At 36.8% G+C, this 19,842-nt stretch overlaps 1 long non-coding RNA gene across 1 annotated transcript in view; it reads left to right on the top strand.

The window, feature by feature from the left end:
• The window catches only part of LINC02994 (long intergenic non-protein coding RNA 2994), a 331,088-nt gene extending 315,551 nt beyond the window's left edge, over positions 1 to 15,537 (top strand). The window contains exon 9 of the long non-coding RNA NR_125909.1: positions 13,509 to 15,537. This is a non-coding gene — a long non-coding RNA (long intergenic non-protein coding RNA 2994). The remainder of the gene's footprint in view (positions 1 to 13,508) is intronic.
• Positions 15,538 to 19,842: the final 4,305 nt, after the last annotated feature.

Genomic DNA, 19,842 nt, shown 5'->3' with positions numbered 1-19,842 from the left:
GCACTATTCACAATAGAAAAGACACAGAATCAACTCAAACGCCCATCAGTGATAGACTGGATAAAGAAAATGTGGTACATATATACCATGGAAAACTATACAGCCGTAAAAAGGAATGAGATCATGTCCTTTGTAGGGACATGGCTGAAGCTGGAAGCCATTATCCTCAGCAAACTAACACAGGGACAGAAAACCAAACACCACAAGTTCTCACTCATAAATGGGAGCTGAACAATGAGAACATGTAGGTGATATTAGAGTCACCTGAGAGTATTTTTAAAATACTGATGCTTGACTTAATACTGAGATGTTCCTACATGCTCAATAGAATGGCCAAAGTTTAAAAGTCTAACAATACTAAGTATTGGTGAGAATGTGAAACAACTGGACTTCTCACACATTACTGTGAAAATGCAAATGATATTGAGAAACAATATGGCAATATCTATAAAAGCAATAATTTACTTACCATGTAACCCAGCAGTTCTGCTCCCAGAGATATTAAAACATATGTCCACACAAAGACTTGTATGCAGATATCCATGGGAACATTATTTATAATATCCAAATAACTGGAAACAGCTCAACTCTCCATTGACTGGTAAAAAGATCAATGAATTATGGCTTATCCATACTATGGAATTCTACTCAGCAACAAAAAGGAAAAAATATTAAAATATGCAGCAATATGAATGAATCTCAAAAGCATAAATGTATGCTAAGTAGAGAAAGTCAAATCTAAATGAATACACACTATATGGTCTCATTTATATAAAGTTTTAGAAAAGGCAAAACTATAGTGACAGAAGATAGATCAGTGGTTAGCTGGGGCCAGGTGTCAGGAGAGGGGATCAACTAACAAAGGGCACAAGGAAACTTTGTAAGGAGATAGAACTGTGCTAAGTCTTGATTGTGATGGTGGTTATATGGCTGTACAGTTAACAAATTTCATCAAGCTGTATAGTTAAATGGATGAATTTTTATTGTACATAAATTATACTTCAGTTAGCTGATACCACAACACAGACTAATTAAATCAGGACCTGACAGCTCTGGGCATCAGGAACTTCTAATATACAGCCAGGATGCAGAACTGCTGTTCTAGGAAAAAGAAATATTATTAGCAAATGCATGTATATTTATATATATATATACACGCACACACACACACATATATATATATACATATAAATATGTAAATAAAATACATTTTTAAATAGTAAAACTTGGCATTTCAGGATTTCAGGGAACAACGTGGCTAGACCACAGGGTCCCCAAGTATGACTAGTACAGATGAGTCTAGAAATATAACTTGGGAAAGATCATGGAGGGCCTCACATTTTCTTAGTGAATGAATGCTCCAGACCATCCATCAGAAAAGCAATTTTTTCCCTGAAAACCTGTAGAAGAAATATTTTCAAAGATTAGAAGTGAGAATATTATTAGTATTCATGTCTCTGCAAATGATACTATTATTGATAACAAATATTCCTCTGGACTATATTGTATGTATCTATGCTAAGGAAGGGGAACTGATTATGTCACTATGTGATTTTGAACAAGTTTTCTGTTTTTAACTTCAATAAACTTCTGTTCACCAATCTGTAAAATCAAGTGCTGGGCTGAAGAATTTCTCAGACTCCTTGTAGCTTCTACCCATTTCTTCACATGAAAGGAATTAAACCTAAAAAACAATGCCATATTGAAAATAATGACTCCGGTGGGGGTCGGGGGGGGGGTGTCTCAAGGGTCCTGGATCAAGGTCATGTGATTGATATTCTTTTCCCCTTTTTTCTTCAAGGGCCACGTGATGCCTGTCATTGAATCTCCTTGCTTTTTCTCATTCTACACACTCATTTTTCCTGCTAACTTACCTTGTGCTCTAAAATGGCAACTTCAACTCCCTGGTCTATAGGACCTTTTAGCTTGGTTTCTCAAATTTGAGAAAAAATGTAATCATGGCTTTTCATCCTAAATATGGCCCCTACTCCAGTGGGTATCAATTCCTGATAAATTCATCTTGGCGGGGAGGGGCCGACAGAATAAGTGCAGTATTTAGGATTGCTCCTCCCTGTGCAGGACAGATAATGGAACCATCTAGTACACTAGCAACATGGTCATTCAATTTTTACTCTGCAAGATTCATCATAGATCCTATTATCCATGAAAATTCTCCACTTCTGTTATCTGAATTTAACTTCTGGAGATGTGTGTGTGTGTGTGTGTGTGTGTGTATGAATATGTATCGTGTGGGCACGTGTGTGTCTGTGTGTGCCACGTGCATGCTTCAGGCAATATTCCGCTTCTGTTGCAATTTGTTCTGAAAAAATATCAAATGATTAAACATTTTAGGGGGATATAAAATTAGATTTATATTTTCTTTTTAAAAGTATCATTCTTATACTTAATAAGAAAGGAAATATTTTTGTACCTGCATATCTGGTGCTGTCAGTAACTCTTTTTATTTATGCAGCAAAATTTCAACAAAGCAGTAATTACATGATCTTAAACATAGTTGATAACATTGGAGGTGACATCTGATAGTTTGATACTTAAAATAGCCACAACCTAAGAATTCTGAATAATGGAGACAAATTTCCAGGCAACAATATGCCAAGGTGGGGATTTGTTCTTTTTCAACCAAAAGCTAAAGCATCATTGATAGAACAAACAACAGACCACAAAGAAAACCTTCTTATTACTACAACAGAGATGTTTTATAAAATCTTACCCAACAGATAGTTTTGTAAGTCATGCATTGAATTAGAATTTCAACTCATGAAGGTCTTATAAATACATAGATTGATATAGTAGCAAATAGGATCAGAAAAGTCTAACACTATGGAAAATGAAGTTGTCTAAGACTATAAACTTCATTCTCAACAGAGAGGCCAAGGATTTTCTGCAATTAGTTTCTGACACATGGATATGAACATAGGTCTAAGAAAGAGGAAATAAGCAACACAAAGAAGAGAAACAGCACTCTCATAACTTTCATTACATTACCAGAATAAGGATTCATAGTTTAAAAATCAGAACTACACTTAATTCTACTACTCTGTGTGTCACATATATGGTTTTAAGTGTGTATACACATATGCGTATACACATAGGTACATCTATATGTTTAAGATGACCACATAATAGTCCATGTAGATCATCCAGAGTACATGCATGGTTTCTGTTAGCTAACCCTTTTTGTTGTCTCTATCCAGTTAAAGAACTCCTTCTGGTACCAGGAATAGAACTGAGTGTACTACCTACTGTGTGTATCTGTCAATATGTGTTTGCTTCTCTGTGTCTGTCTGATTCTCTTTTTCTCTTTTTGTTTCAAGAGGAACTCAAAAATGCTCCCTGGCATTTCCATGCCAAAGCCATTTCCCATCATAGCAATTAAGCTCCTTTGATGGTAGAATATGCCCCCATGTGAAACTCACATAAAATATTTTCGGCCATTAGCCCTTCTTCAGGCTGAGATGTAGCACTGCCAGTATGAAATATAAAATTGCTTATTTAAAAACCAATAAGGAAAAAATGTCCCTGATAGAAGTAAAAGCCTGGCATCCCTAGACTGCATGCATCATCACAGCATCAGCAGCTGCTTCCTCAGTCAGTGGCAGAACAGTAAATCTAGGAGCATGGCTATTCATCTACAGTATGGTTAGGAGGAGGCCAGAAGAGAACAGAATGACATCGGGTGAAAAATGAGTTGCTGATCAGCTAAGGTTACTGTCCGACTCCAAAGGTTATGGCAATATAATCATCTGCTCTTGCTCTGCAAGGGAAACTCAATATTGCCTTAATTACTTTGCTTTTGTTATCCATTGTATTCCCAATGCAACATCACATCCAGCAAACGAATGAATAGAGCATTCAGTTATTATATACATAAATTTATATTACTGAGATGGCACATATACTTTGATCCTATAAAGAGGATTTTGGGAGTTGACAGAAGGTTTTCATCTGAGCCTCCAAACGCCTGGCCCAGGACACTGGGGTAAACCATTACTCTTATTTTACTTATGTATTTATGTATTTATTTATTTATTTTTGAGATGGAGTCTCGCTCTGTCACCCAGGCTGGAGTGCAGTGGTACAATTTCAACTCACTGCAACCTCTGCCTTCCAGGTTGAAGCAATTCTGTTTCAGCCTCCCGGGTAGCTGGGATTACAGGTGCGGACCACCACACCTGGCTAATTTTTGTGCTTTTAGTAGAGACAGGGTTTCACCATGTTGGCCAGGCCGTTCTCAAACTCCTGACCTCAGGTGACCCGCCCGCCTCCGCCTCCCAAAGTGCTGGGATTACAGGCATGAGCCACCGTGCCCAGCCAAAAGATATGAATTTTTTAAACTATTCTCAAAAATCTTCAGCCAGTGGGCTATTGATCCATTAGAAGAGAGTTGACTGACTTAACATTGAGGTGATGCATCTTCATCTATGGAGGATGCTTCAGGAAACTCCAAGGCCCAGCCCCTAGGATTTCCCAGTGGACATATTTCTTTAACTTATAAATGTATATCCTTTACCATATGGTCCTACATATTTTTGCTCATTTGGTTTATAACAGTTGTCAGGCTCAACTATTCTACTCTAGTCTACTTAGAAAGTATGTTGTTTGAGCTGACAAGAATAATCATGTTTCAGTTTATTTTCACTTGGTAATGATGAGAGGAAAAGAAAAGAAGTAGTAGTCATTCTTTGACTTTGATGAAACCAGAAGGAAGCCACTGGGGTCAGTTAAAGACAGAAGAATTCAAAACCAGAACTTCTGTGAAGACATTCATTTCAAGAAAAATTGTGCTTTTAATATTTCTCTTCTGAAAAACATGTTATCTCAATCATCAATGAACATTTAGATCAGCAAAATGAAGGAAAAATATTCCATAATTCCAGTAAACAGAAATAATCATTATTAATTTGATAGGGTATTCATATATATAATTTTATTTATAAACATGAATGAAAGTCACTGGTTTGAGGGTATTAATAGATAGACATTGAGAACGTATAAGTGAACGAGGAAATACACACTTCTCCCTTTCTTGCTGATAACCTCCTATCAGGCCAGGACACAACATGGATATGACTTGCCTTCTTCACCACAGCTTTCCCTGTTCCAAAAGAGTCGCCTCTGTTATCCAAACCTGGACACTCAATGCCTTTCCCAGTAAAAGTCACCACTGTAAAAAAAAGAGTAAAAGTAAAGAACGAATCTGAAAACCAAACAAAAAGGCATGCATAGGCTTAGGGGATAGTTTGCTTCGTCAAACACTATCAATCACAGTGTTAAGCACTCATAACACATTTCTATCAAACTCATGTGAAACTTGGCACTTCTGAGCCCTGCTTCCCTCACAATCATACGTTTCTACTGCCCCCACCCCACCCCAGGCAGTCTTCAGCTTCACGGGAATGACATCTGTATCTCCAGATGTTTGTGTGTTATCAGGCCCTTCTCAGCCATTTTGATCAGGGTGCATGTACACAAATTATATCATAAATCTCTCACACTTCATATGCTATATCGAATAAGAAAAACACCAAATTTACACAGACCTATGTTAAGCCTAGGAATTGTAACTTGAGATTTAACATGCTATTTGTAAGGATGTGCTATTACTCTTAATCCCTCGATTAATACAGGCTAACACTACTGTACAGATTTATTATGGACCATATGCTCTTTAATTATCATTGCCTCCCAAAGTTACCACTCTGCACATCTGCAGCCGATGTGAGCTGCTGTTCCTCTGTCCCTGCCTCAGCAGGATCTGATAACCATTTTTCAGCTGGACACCTTGATGAAGAGTCAGTCCCAACAATGTCTCAGAAGAGTGATTAAAATAAAATAAAAGGGAAGGGAAACAAGCAGTGTTTTGGGGAGAGCGTAGGAAGTGGGGAAAATCCACTGTCAATGATGCTCCTCATCTGTTCAGGTTCCCTTTAGCTGAAATGATTTTTAATTGTAGATTGTTAATGTTTGTCTTCCAAAATCCAGCTGTTGTAAATGGAATTAAGGAGAAACCTTCCTCTCTTGAAGCAAATGAGAAAGTGGAGAGTGTGCAAACATTAACATGGTTCTTAGATCAAGATGTGCCTTGCTGATTTAAAATCTTTTGGAGCGCACAATCAGAGGAGACATAATTCATGGGGACTTGGGATTAATTTTTTAAAGATTTACACTGCAATTTTAAATGACATTCTAGCTAATTAAGCATCTCTCTACATCACAAAGGAACAGTTCTTATAAACTGTTTTCCTCTTTATTGAAGTTTAACATTCTTAAGGTCACACATCTCTTTCTGCCAATAGATACAAGACATGTGTATCAAGACAAATGTTTCCTAAAATATTGTAGGTTTGATTAAAAGATGGCAAGCTTTAGCAGAAAGAAACGTGACTTGTGGATCAGGAGACAGACATTGGGAAAATCACCTACCTTAACAGTTTTTCACTTCTGTTATAAAGGACTTGAGCCAGGTGATCCTTAAGGTAACTCCCCTCCCTAAATTAAGGGCACTAATTCACTAGTATTGAATTCAAGAGAGTTATAATCATTTGTGTTTTAGCCATACAGCAATCCAAGGAGGTTGATGGAAATTATTTAGTCCTATTCTATCACTGCAGAAATTAAGATCTTAATGATCCATTAATTCACCAAAGATCTTATAATCAGAATGAGTTTGAAGGTCAATCCCATGCTTTGAAAAATTTATTAATTCCCAAAAAGTTATTTAAAAATCTTTCAAAAGTAGAGCTTTCAAGTATCTCTTCAGTGAATATATGGAGCCTAGAATAGTCAGGAATGTCTAGAAAATGAATAATGATAAAGCTGCAGGACTTGGAACCAGAATTCAAGACTTACTGTTAAACAAAAGTAGCTAAGACAGTGAGGTTTCAGCTCAAGGGTAGACAGATAAACCAAAGAGACATGCTGGAGAGCCAAGAAACAGATCCACACAGCTATGGTCACTTGATTTATAATAAAAATGCCACTGCAATCCAGTGGGGACAAGACAGTCTTCTCAATAAATGGAAAAAGGGAAACATTGACCTTTATCTTACATCATGCACAAAAATTAATTAGAGATGGATCAGATACTTAAATATAAAAGATGAAAGCATAGCTATCTTTCAGAAGAAAGCATAGATATCTTCAAGACTTTGAGATAGGCAAATATTTCTTAACTGGAAAAAAGCAAGAAATTAACCACAAGGGAAAAGGTAAATCAATTATTTTGCATGAAATTTAAAACTCCTACTCTTTGAAAGACGACTTTAAAAAATAATAATGCAAGCAACAGACTGGAAAAAAATAATTGCCATATATATATATATATATATATATATATATATATATATATATAAAATGACTCATATTTAGAATATATAAAAAACTACAAATCAAAAAGAAAAAGACAACCCAGATTTTTTTAATGTGGAAAATACTTGATCAGACATTCACAAAAGTGAAATACATGGCCAATATACATACAAAAGCGAGATCAACATGCTTAGTTGGTTGAGAAATGCAAATTAAAATCACAATAAAATATCTCCACACACCATCTAAAATGCTGTAAGAGCACCTACACTCAACATATTAAATGTTGGTAAAGATGTGGAACTCCCATCTGCTGTTGATGGGACTGTAAACTGGTATAAGCCCTTTGGGAAACTTTTGGCCCATCAACTAAATCTAAGCATGTGTTTATCCTATGACCCAGCAATCCCACCCTTGGTGCTATGTTCACCAAAAATGTTCACCAAAAACATTTACTATAATGTCGTAGCTGTACTATTTATAGCTAAAAAGTAGGAAACAACCCAAATGTCCATCAATAATAGAATAACTAAGTTGTAGAATATTCATACAATGAAATAATTCACAGCAGTGAAAAAGAACACACTATTGCTCCACACCACAGCATGAATAAGATCTCACTGAAATAATGTTGAGCAGAAAAGAAGCACAATGTAAAAGACTATATATTATATTATTACACTTATATGAAGTTCAAAAACAGGCAAAATTAATATATGGTGGTAAAGGACAGAAAAGTGCTTACCTCTGTGAAGGAGTAGGAGGTAGGGGGAGAGAGGCAGGAAATCTTCTGTGCCTTGGTCTGAGTGGTGATTATAAAAGAATATGTCTATGCAAAGAGCATGTTGTCCTCTTGGGATTTGTACACTTTATTGTTTATAAGTTATACCTCAAATAAGAATATATACATGTGTGGGTGTGTATATACATATATATATATATATAAACTTCCAGAAAACTGAAGTGAAGATTACATTCTATTACTTCTTTATTTTTTGTTATCTGTTTTCAGTGAATTGGAAACGTTTCCCTGAATGTAAATTAGAAATTCTCAATGTATGAGAAAAATAATCATTTGAGCTTCCACCATAGATGGACGTATTCTTTCTTGGACAGACTTGCCTTCTCAAATGGGGTAATACGTAGGGTTCTCTTGTTATTTAACCCATGCCTAAAAAGTAGTGGGGTAAATGAAAAATTGTTTGAGGTAGGAGTGTGCAGGTAGGAATATGTGGAGGTGGGAATTTATATGATTACATATCAAGTGATTAGTACATTTTCAGAAATAGGAACATCAGTCTGAGACTATTCAACTTTCCTGTGAATTGAGAGTGAATATGAGGCTAAACTATCAAGGATGGAGGCCTTAACTTCTCCCCTTCCACTTTCCTAAACAGAAATGAAATTCACCAAAGCCCAGAAGGAATAGTAGGTTCCAATGTCCTGAATCTTCAGAGTTAGAAAAAACTGAAACTTACATCTACTATTTTTAAAAAATAATAATATGCCTTTTAAAAATTTACACTTTGCTGCTTCAATTTTCTCTTCTAAATGACATTGGTTCACATCAAAATCAGAAAAAAAAAAAGCCCCCAACTTCCAGCCTTCCATTTTCTAGATCCTGATGTGCAAAGTTTTTGTCTAGGGAGTGAGATTACTCACTTCCTATGACCCTTCCAGTCTGTGTCTCCATCTAGAATATCAGTTCTCATCCAAAGCATCCACTTGTACTCATGTGTTGTGATCATACATAAAATGAGTCACAAGAAATGTGTTATTGTTCATAAACAATGAAGCAAAGTTGCTTTTTAAGAAATTAGGGTAGGTTTAAGGATAACAATTTCCATTTCATAGTTGAAAATAAAATGGTGTTTGAGAGGTCAATGGCTTGCCCTAGGACAGAGAGCTAGGAAGAAGAACTGGAGCTACTGGTTTTTATCATAAACTGCTTCTCCATGGGAGTAAATTAATTGTGCATGTTTCATGGGAGGGATGATTCATCCGTGACACACATCAGACAGAGAATCAAGTTATTAAGATCTCAGGCTTTCTTTTCAAAGAGTAGGTAAATTCACCTCTGTGTCAATATAGTTAATATAGCCATTTCTTAACTAGGAAATTGCAATCACATATTAAAATATTATGGTCACACACCTTAGGCAGTAAAAATTCTCAGGCATTGGAAATTACCTGACAGGACTTCTGGCTCAGAAAAGTGATATTGAAGGTCTTTAGAACAAAAATGTCTACAAATCTGTGAAATATAAGAACATTAAGTTTTTACAATGTTCTACAAGAGGTATGAAATGAACACATAATCACGTCAATTCTGCCTATTCCATTTTTTAGTGTTTTCTATTTTTAGCATTTTATTGTTGGAACTTATGCATGCCTTCCTAGGAAACTTATTTTACTTTGCGTCACAGTCAAAAGATGGGAAATTGTAACCAAATGTTGAAATATGATAATTAACTCCTTGACTAAACAAAACTAACACTATTTCTGAATAGAAGCAATTATTTTAAGTCTGTAAGAAATGCAATGTAATATATTTATTTGTGCAATGTACACTGGTTGACTTGGCCAAAGCTACCCGTCAATGGAAAAAAGATAACAGCTCATGTAAAGCTATTTTCTAAGTGTCTAAATTTTGCTGACTTTTCTCACTAAAACCTTTTTTATTTTTTTGAGACAGGGTCTCGCTCTGTCCCCCAGGCTGGAGCGTAATCCTGGCTCACTGCAACCTCCACCTCCCGGATTCAAACAATCCTCCTGCCTCAGCCTCCCAAGCAGCTGGGATTACAGGCACATGACACCACCCCCAGCTAACTTTTGTATTTTTAGCAGAAACGGGGTCTCACCATGTTGGCCAGGCTGGTCTCGAACTCCTGACCTCGTGATCCACCCACCTTGGCCTCCCAAAGTGCTGGGATTACAGGCGTGAGCCACCGCACCCAGCCACTAAAACCTTTCTTAATTATTATTATCAAATCTAGAACTGCATGAGCCTCATTAATGCAAAGAAATATAAACTCACAGAACATGAAGCTTGAAATGGACCCAGGCGATCACTTCATTCAATTCTGTTTTACACATGGAAAACCTGAGATCTGAAAAGTGATATGGTCATGTGTACAGGGATCCCAGTTCAGAACTCTCTTATTATGGATAGAACTTAGCTAACCAGAAACAACCTCTGTTTGATTTGTGACTGTCTTGACTAACCCTGATAAACATCAGTTTTAGGAAATAAAGATTCTCTGTAAATGTGAATGTTCAAATATCAACAACAGAACATCTGTCATACTCATACAATTTCCTTTTCTAAACCAAGGCCTGAGCTCTTTGACTTGTTTCAAACTATATGAAATTTCTATTCACAACTTTAAAGAAATCTGGAAAACAAAATGAAAATATCCTCACAATCCTGACATCTTAGAATGCCAACTAGATATTGTCAGGGAATTATGCCATATTGGTTCTGAGTTGACAGCAATGCCTGCATGTGTGTAATTTCTGATAGCTAAAACCCTGGGCTCTGGAGCTAAGCCCTGACTACCCTTACTACCTGTATGATCCTGAGCAGGTTGCATAATTTATCGTCCATCAGTTTCCCCATTTATTCAATGGAGATAATAATAGCGCCTGCACCATAGGGTTATTGTGTACATATAAATACATGTAAACACACAGAATGGTACATGTTGGCTATTATTGTTATCCTTAATGATCAGATGATGATGATGATGATGATAATGATGATGATGATGCTTTGTAAAAAGGAGGCAGTGGATGAGATTTATTTACTCATCCTTAGTCATTAACAAATTAATTTCATTCCATAATTTACTTCAGAATTATGTTTAAAACTAATTTTATCTTAAATTCATCTAGATATGTCATCTCCACTTGTAACTTCTGAACTCAGGTATTATGCTTTAGATATCTTTGTATATAAATTGTAGTGCCTGGCAGCTTGCCTTATACATATCAGCTGCTCAGTAGGCATTTGCTGAATTACTGAATGAAGGCTTAAATAAACAAAGCTCAAAGGAAAAAGAGACTGTTGCCCACCTTCCTTTCCCACCCCACCCTGCACACACACATAAACCCCATCCAATTTATTGGAAGGCGCCCAAATCACTGATGAAACATTTGGCTCAAGTCTTCAAAATAGTACACAAATAGATAAATGGCCTTTTTTTCCTATAGCTTTTAATATCCTGTTCTTTATAAATGACTTTCAGACTCATTTTATATTATGGTTATCTTCTGAAAATGCATTATATCCTAATAGCCAGGCTTCTTTCTCTACCTCCAACCCTAGCTTTTTGGTTTGGTGCTGATTTTTTACTTTGAGACATTAATTTAAGTATTCTGCTTGTCAGTGGATGAGTGAATGAATTATTCATTTTATTATGAAACATAAATTTTAACGAACAGCATTATAACTCTTTTTATATGCCAAAAATAATAGATCATTCCAGAAGCTATTATGGCACCCTTTATCTAACAGAGGGTGCCCTTTTGAAAGCTGTGCCAAACTAATATGTTTTAATATAACTTCAACCATGAAACATTAAAAGAAGCCAGCTCAATTTAATATCTAGATAACAAAAATATAAGCCATACCTAACTTAAGTCATATTAGGATTATTTAATTGCTATCAACATTAACCAGGCAAAACCAAAATGTTTAAGCACTGCTTCCTATCCACAACCATAATGCAAAATCCTCACTTCTTTATCAAAATGTTATCATCATGAATATGGGATAAACTAAGAAACATAATTGACATAAAATAAAGTTAATCTCAACATTAATTACAATTTATTCTAACTAAAGACCCTACTACCATACTCCACACATTTGTATAAACATGCATAACTAGACTGAATTGCACTCAATATCTATTATACAAAGCATGCCATCTAAAGTTTCTGACTTTTCAGACCACTGTTATCACGTTAACATTTTAAAGATGTGTCTGCATAGCCAAGCATTGTTACATACCTCATAGTAATTATTATTTTTTCCTATATGCTATAGCTTCTGCTCAACATGATGATAAATTTTCAAGACCTTGTTAAAAATTCCAGTCCACATCCTCCCTTTCCCAAACTTACCTCTTTAGTTATAAGAGCAATGAGGCTTAGCTGACTGGCAGCTTGTTAGGCTCAACAGATAATGTGCATATTACTTTCTGGCCCATCTTTATTTTTTTAAATAATAATAAAAAGGAACATGAAAGATAATCATTACAGACTAAGAAATAGTCATTACAATGGTGGAGATAGATTTACTCCATGACAGAGAAGTGAATGAACCTAGACAGTTAAGCCTACACGGGAGCATGAAAAGCCATACTGATTACTTTAATTTCCTAAACTCTTTAGTGTTCTGAAAGGCTCTTTAAAACTTCATATTCTTTCACATTTGTCTGTTGCTATTATCTTGTCCAAAGCTTTCACTCACCTTCATGCTACCCAGGAAGACTGTTAGCATCAAACTGGCAAGATTTAATCAGAGTTTATTGCTTGAGATAAAAACACCACCACATTTTTTATCTTTTTATTAAATTTACAAACTTGGGTATCCACATTAGGGATCAAAAGGTGATTGCCTGTTTCCTCTACTGGAATGCAATGTTATACTTCTCATATAATAAAAAGCCCTTTCCTTTGATTTTGTAAAGAGAAACAAGACTTTTTCTTATTGGAGCAGGGCCCAGGAACTTTCTTTGAGATTATATTCAGGGATGATAATCTCTTTAGCCAAAAAAAAAAAAAAAAAAAAAAAAAAAAGGTGAATTTGAACATCTGGCTCTTGCTCATGGATATATTACAAAAGCAAAGTAATCACACTGTGCTCCTGGAGCGCAGCAATAACATTGTTGATTCAGAAGTCAGACAGTAAGAAAATTTTAGAGTGCCCACATATGTATACACAAATACATGCTAATGCGAATTAGAACTGCCTGTAACGAGGTTTCATGATAGCCCTATTTTAGATCTCAAAAAAGATCTAGAAGAAGTTTCTCCAAGAAGAATACTTTCTCCTTTATAGTGACTGTCAACTGCCACTTTTGGGACTTAGTCCTATGTTCTAAGTTGGAAACTCACAAATTCCAAAACTACTGGGTATATTCATTGCTTTTTTGTTTGTTTGTTTTTGACAGGGTCTTGATATATTGCCCAGGCTGGAGTGCAGGGGCTATTCACAGGCACAATCATAGCTCACTACAGTCTCAAACTCCTAATCTCAAGCAGTAGCTGGGACTGTAAGTATGCACCAACACTCCCGGTTTGGGTATCTCCATTGATTGGCAACCAGCACCACAGTAGATGCTGATGAAAAGAAAGTTATGAATGTCATGTAAAATGACAGTAGTATTAGCAAATGTGCTTTTAATTATAAGAAAATTACAATATGTAAAAAAATTTCAATTTTCCCATATTATCTCTTAATAATAACTGCCATTTGTTGAGCCCATTGGGTATGTTACATATATTAACACAACAGGATGGACATTATCTATCTTATATATATTATGTGTATATATACGGAAAACAGGACACAAATTGTCTGAGGCCATGGACAATTAGCTTGCAGTAAAGTAGGATTCTAAATTAGGTTTCTCTAGCTCCAAGACCCATGCCATTTTGTTTGGTCATTTGCTTCTGATGAATCAAATATTAATTCAGCCAAAGACAGCTATTCAAAGCTGGTTGAATAACTTACTATGTGTAATTCACTTGTGTCCTGCCTTTCTTCCGAACTTTTGTACAAAACCTTGATTATTTTAATAAGGCATTCTATACATAAAGTTTCAAATAAACCATAAGTACCTCAAGAAAATGTCATATAATTTAGAATTGAATCATAGCATATTTTTAATCTGGAAGCAACATATCTAAATAAGCCATTTTTATATTATAAATACAAACAGGTACAAAGAAGTATAGTTCACTTTACAAGCTGTTGTACATGCATAATACCATATTATGCTACCAAAGAAACTATTAAGTTATACATATTTTTTACAGCTTTAACTATTTTTGTTGTCAATTTCCTCTAATAAGATTTTTTCTGGATAAACAAAAATTTATCTACTCAAATGATTGTTTTTCTTCAACATCATAATGTTGCAGGCCTATTGATGTATATTTTTGTGTACTAAATAGTTTGTGGAGCTCTTCTTGAAGAATTATCTTCAGAGCTGATTAACCAGACACACCCTCCAGACATCATAGTCACAGCTGCTTTGAGACAGCAACAACCTCATCCCCGCAAATAGTATGGATTCCTGTCTTATTCAATAGGTCTGAATTTTAAATACTCTTAGCTTATTTCAAGAACTAAATCTATCCTCCACAAATAAAAATGTGCTGCCGCTCAGAATATTTAGGAGAATATGTGATAGCCAAGATACTTTTGGCTTATTTCAAAAATTCATCTATCTCCACAAAGGAAAATGTTTCACCATTCAGAATATTCAAGAGAATTTTCTTAGAAAAGAAATCCAAGATTGTATTCATTGGAATAACAGACCTTTCTTCAAGGTGACTTCTTTCAAAAGAACAATATTTAGGGGTATATAGAACATCATTTTTAAAATAATTTATTTTGCTATATTTACCACATTTCATGACACCCTAAAAGATTTTGGCTAATGAAATTTATACAGTTCAAATGTGTATTCCTGAAGAGACAAGACTGAGGGAAAAAAAATTATCTCAAAGTCATTCTCAAATTAGACATGAAATGAATTATTAATTTCTACATATTTTACCATCATGCTTGTAGTTTTAATAAACAAAAATCAAATGCATATAGGCTTCACACACTTTGTGTAATTGCTTGTTTAACATCCCCAAATTCCATAAATGCAAAAACTAGATCTGTCTGGCTTTCCATTAAGTCCCCAGCACCTAGCAAGGTGCTTAACAAATAGCAGATGGATGTTGGAAGGAATAAAGGAACAAAGAAAAGAATAGAAGAAGTTAGTGACTTGATTCTATACAGAGTGGACCTTGACACATACTGCAAGTGAATGTTAAACTAAAAGTATAATTTCTTTATCAGTGAATATATTTCCATGAATTTTAAGTATTTTGCTGATGATTTATTAAATATGTATTTCACTACTTTCTTTTCTTTTAATCAGTCCTATTCCATCCCCTTCAAATAATAAAAAAGTTTCAATGATTCAGACTATTTTTGAAAAGAAGCATACACACACACACACACACACACACACACACACTAAACAAGCCTTTAAAACTAAAAAGATTCATCAGAAAATCTTACAAACTCTGGAAAGAATACATCTCAACAATTCTCTGCACTTGAAGGATAATTTGAAAGGCACAGTTTGCCTTCATTAATAAATCTTAACACTAATGAACCTGCAAGAAGGATTTAGGAATCCATTGTACTTGAAAAAGATCAAGAGGAACATTGTCACATCAGGAAACCGTGCTAAGAGCTCGTTAAATGGCCTGACTTAAAATGCTGTATGAACCTAAACAAAGAAGTTTTTATAGTGTATCTTTCTGCTTCTACCTGCCTAGATATCAAATTATGTTATGAAGCATTCTCTATAAAGGAATAGATCAATGCCATATCTCCCTCATAGGAATGGGACAGATATTATTTGACTCCACTTACGGTTGCTATGAAATTTAGGCCCTCTCTTGCTAGAACTTCTCATTTTTCAAGAGAAGCCAGAAATAAGATTGTTATGTAAATCTTAACATTTTTAGTGCTGGCAACTATTTAAATTTTTTAGACACTGTGGGGGACTTCTGCTTTTCATAAGGATGTCAGAAGTTCACCCTAGAACAAGCTGGCTAAACTAGGTTAAAATTAAAACCATCCAGGAATTGAAGCACAAAGAAACCTAAATAAGGTGATAAGCCCTTCCTAGGACAGAAGAGATGCACAGCTACTTTCATCCCTGATGAAGCAGCAGGAGAAGGGAGAATCTACCATAGACAGCAGTAAGGAGGAACCAGACAAACTTTTAACAAACTTTTAATGGCTATCCGTTGAGATTATGGATTAAATTTCTGGGCTTTAGCCACAGAACAAGTCTGCATCATCTCACCAATGGTGTCTTCACTAAGTGCATGCAGGTAGTATACTGAAGGCTGGGAGTGGAAGGAGAGGAGGCAGGGTCTGCTGAGGCATGCAGGTCTTCCCCAAGTACAAGGGGGAAACCACTGAAGATCAGGGACAGGAGAGAAACGCTAAGAAAAGTCCCTTTAAGGTCTCTACTGATGTTCAGAAGTAGACCTCCAAAGAAAGAATTAAGGTACCTCTCAAAGATACAGAAAGCTGGAGGTGGGACCTATGGGAAATATCACCTGGCTGAGCAGAAGAAGAGATTGAGAAGAAATGTCCCAAAGCTTCCCAAATTTAATGAAAAGGTTGGAGGTAAATAAAGATATTACCAGACAAACAGACAAAAAAAAAAAAAAAAAAACCACCGTGGATGCCAAATACAAATACCTATAGGCCAGTACTGATTGCCAGTTTTCAGAACTTCCCCTAAACATTATTCATAATTCCCAAAATAGCTATTGTCAGGCTGGTTACTAATTAGTAACTAGCCAATAAACCATTTAGCTGACATTTACCTGTCAAATCTTCACATAAGATTATCTGGAAACAATGGAAACAAGACAACATTAGTGTCTGGAGATGAGAAGCAGTCATGAGTATAATTAGACTGAGAGTTCTTTGAAGTTAGGGTCCCTGTTTCTCTAATATTTATTTATTTTTTATTTTTCTATTTATTATTTTTTAGAGATAGGGTCTCACTCTGTTGCCTAAGCTGGAATGCAGTGGTGTAATCATAGCTCACTGCAGCTTCCAATTCCTGGGCTCAAGCCACCTTAGTAGATAGGTAGTACTACCACGTCCAGCTAATATTTTTTGTAGAAACTGAGTCTATATTGCCCAGGCTGGTCTCAAACTCCTGGCCTCAAGTGATCCTCCCACCTCAGCCTTCCAAAGTGCTGGGATTACAAGCATGAGCTATTGTGCCCAGCCCCCATCTTTAAACCCCCAGTTTCTGGTGCACAGAAGTTCCAAACAAATGTTTACTGATCACAGAATGTAACATATTGTTATGAGCATTCTGGACTCAAATTGATAAGATATTGCTTTTATTAACTAGTTCAGTTGCTCTTATTTCATTCATGTTTCTGTTTTTTAAATAATTTCTATCATACACCAAGGAAATAATTGTTTAAATAATCTCTATCATACGCCAAGGAAACCACACACCAGGACACAGTTACACTGGTTACGATATCTGTGGGACATGGTGTCATTTCTTACCCATTTTGACATCATCATATAGAGAGAGGGGAGGCAGGAACTGCTGATGTTTCATTGCTTAATAAGTTTAAGCAAAACCTTCCCACATTTTGTCTTTAAACGAGTTTACAAGGATAATGTCTGTTTACAAAATTGGAGGCTGAAGAATTAAAAATGTCATTTTTACCTGAAAAGGATATAGAGTACCCAACAACTGGACAACCAAGCTCCTGAAGAGAAGACATCAAAAGTAGAGCATACTTCATTAAAGGTCCCTTTCAAGCAGCTGTCATTTCATGATATATTTCAGTCAAGTAAAGGACAGCCCAGGTGCATTGTGGGATGATAGAACTTACCTTGGAGGAGCATTCTGGTTAATTGGCAGCACAAATAGGGTTGTAAATGCACAAATGAGATAAAATCTCAGTAATTCCTAAATATTAGAGCCTGCATGTCAGAGTGAGTTTTAATTAATAGAAGTATATAATGGTTTCTCACAAACAACTATAAAATATTTAAAAACTGTTATTTGTTCAGAACATTATTTTAAGGAAAATGAATGTACTGTGGTCAAGAATAGGCCAAGGCAAACATCCAGTCCAGCATGACTCAGCAGGTTTGGAGTGCATGTGCACAACTCCACTCATTATGTAACCACACCACATGAGGTGCATTAGGTGATCACCCATGTGAGCTTGTGCTTGGCTGGGAGCTGCTGTTGTCTGTAAAATGTAGAATTACCCTGCTAATGCTCTACATATGGCTCATGCTCAGGCTTGCTCACACCGAGAGAGAGAGTAAAGCCATGTCAAAACTGTCTATGATTCCTCTAGTGTTTTTCCAGCTATCCGCCACTTGCCCATCAACTTCCCTCAGACCTCAGTTAGAACCTGACAATTGGCATCATGAACAGGATCATGGAGTGAGTAAGACTACTGTCCCCGCTGATTCCTGTTGGCCATATGGCCACAACATGGGTTGTGGTACCCGGTGGCAGCTGTGCTGCTTGGATGGGCCCAGTAGAAACCTGGGCAGTGGTAGATGGGTCCCCCACAAGCATGGAGAAGGTGCTGAAGCAGCTGGAAGCTCAGAGCACCAAGAAGGAGCAAGCCTTTGCCAGCAGAATTGGATGGGTGTTTTTCACTGCGCTATGGGAAGTACACACCCAGTCCCTGAGGGACACAGCACAGGTAAGGGCCCTCCAGGTACAGGCAGGGCACCTGGAAGGCCAGCTACAGAGCTCAGAAAAAGAGTTAGAAGCTGCCATGAATGGGGACCTTCAAGTGGAGGTGGAGTGCCTGGAGGCCTGGCTACAGAGCTTAGAAATGAAGTGACCACTCCTATGGTGGCTCTCAGGGAAATAGAAGGCCATTGGTGGGACCAAGGGATCTGTGCCATAAAGAAGGGGAAGATGCCCTGCCCACCAGTGCTCCCAATGGGAGAAAAGGAGGCCCCAATGAGTGACACGCTTACAGATGTGGATAGATTTGGTTTTGGCTGGGGTCAACCAAGAGAAAATCGATTAACAGCCCAATGAGGAACACATTGAGGTACTCAACTTTGTGGAGACAGTTGTCTCCAGAGCAGCAATTCCAGAAAATGCCCATGAGGGAGAAGGACATTGCGAGTGACCCAGTCCTGCCCAGGCACTCCAGCTCAGACTATGTGCTGCAGCCAGGCAGGGATGTAAAGCCTTTTCTGTTTGATTAGGGAACTGGTTGAGGTGACCAGCTTGGGGACACACCAGACAACCAGAGGCCACATGTGGACTTGGCAATCCACTGGTCCCTGCACCCAGATAAGTTTCTGGACAAGGCTGCATGGACTGTTACGAAGACCAGTCAGTGAAAGCGAAACCTGTACCTTTGCACCTCAGCAACAGCTGCTTGGCTCCCCCCTTATGCAGTGTGTATGCCTCTCTCATACCTGAATACATTCTGAGAGTGAATTGGCTTGGCACAGCTTGGCAGCTGTGCTGTCTGTCATGGACTTGATGGACCACTTGATGACAGAATTGGGACAGTACCACTATGTGGTGGACTTGACCAATGCATTCTCAACTAACATTGCTCTAGAGAGCCAGAAAGAGTTTGCCTTCATGGAAAGGCAACAATGGACTTTCATAGTCTTGCCACAGGGATGTATGCACAGCCCCATCATATGTCATGGTCTTGTTGATGATATGA

Source organism: Homo sapiens, chromosome 4 (genome assembly GCF_000001405.40).
Source record: "Homo sapiens chromosome 4, GRCh38.p14 Primary Assembly".
Taxonomy (NCBI): Eukaryota; Metazoa; Chordata; class Mammalia; order Primates; family Hominidae; genus Homo; species Homo sapiens.
Note: the sequence above shows the minus strand (reverse complement) of the source record. Positions and strands in the feature narration are given on the sequence as shown.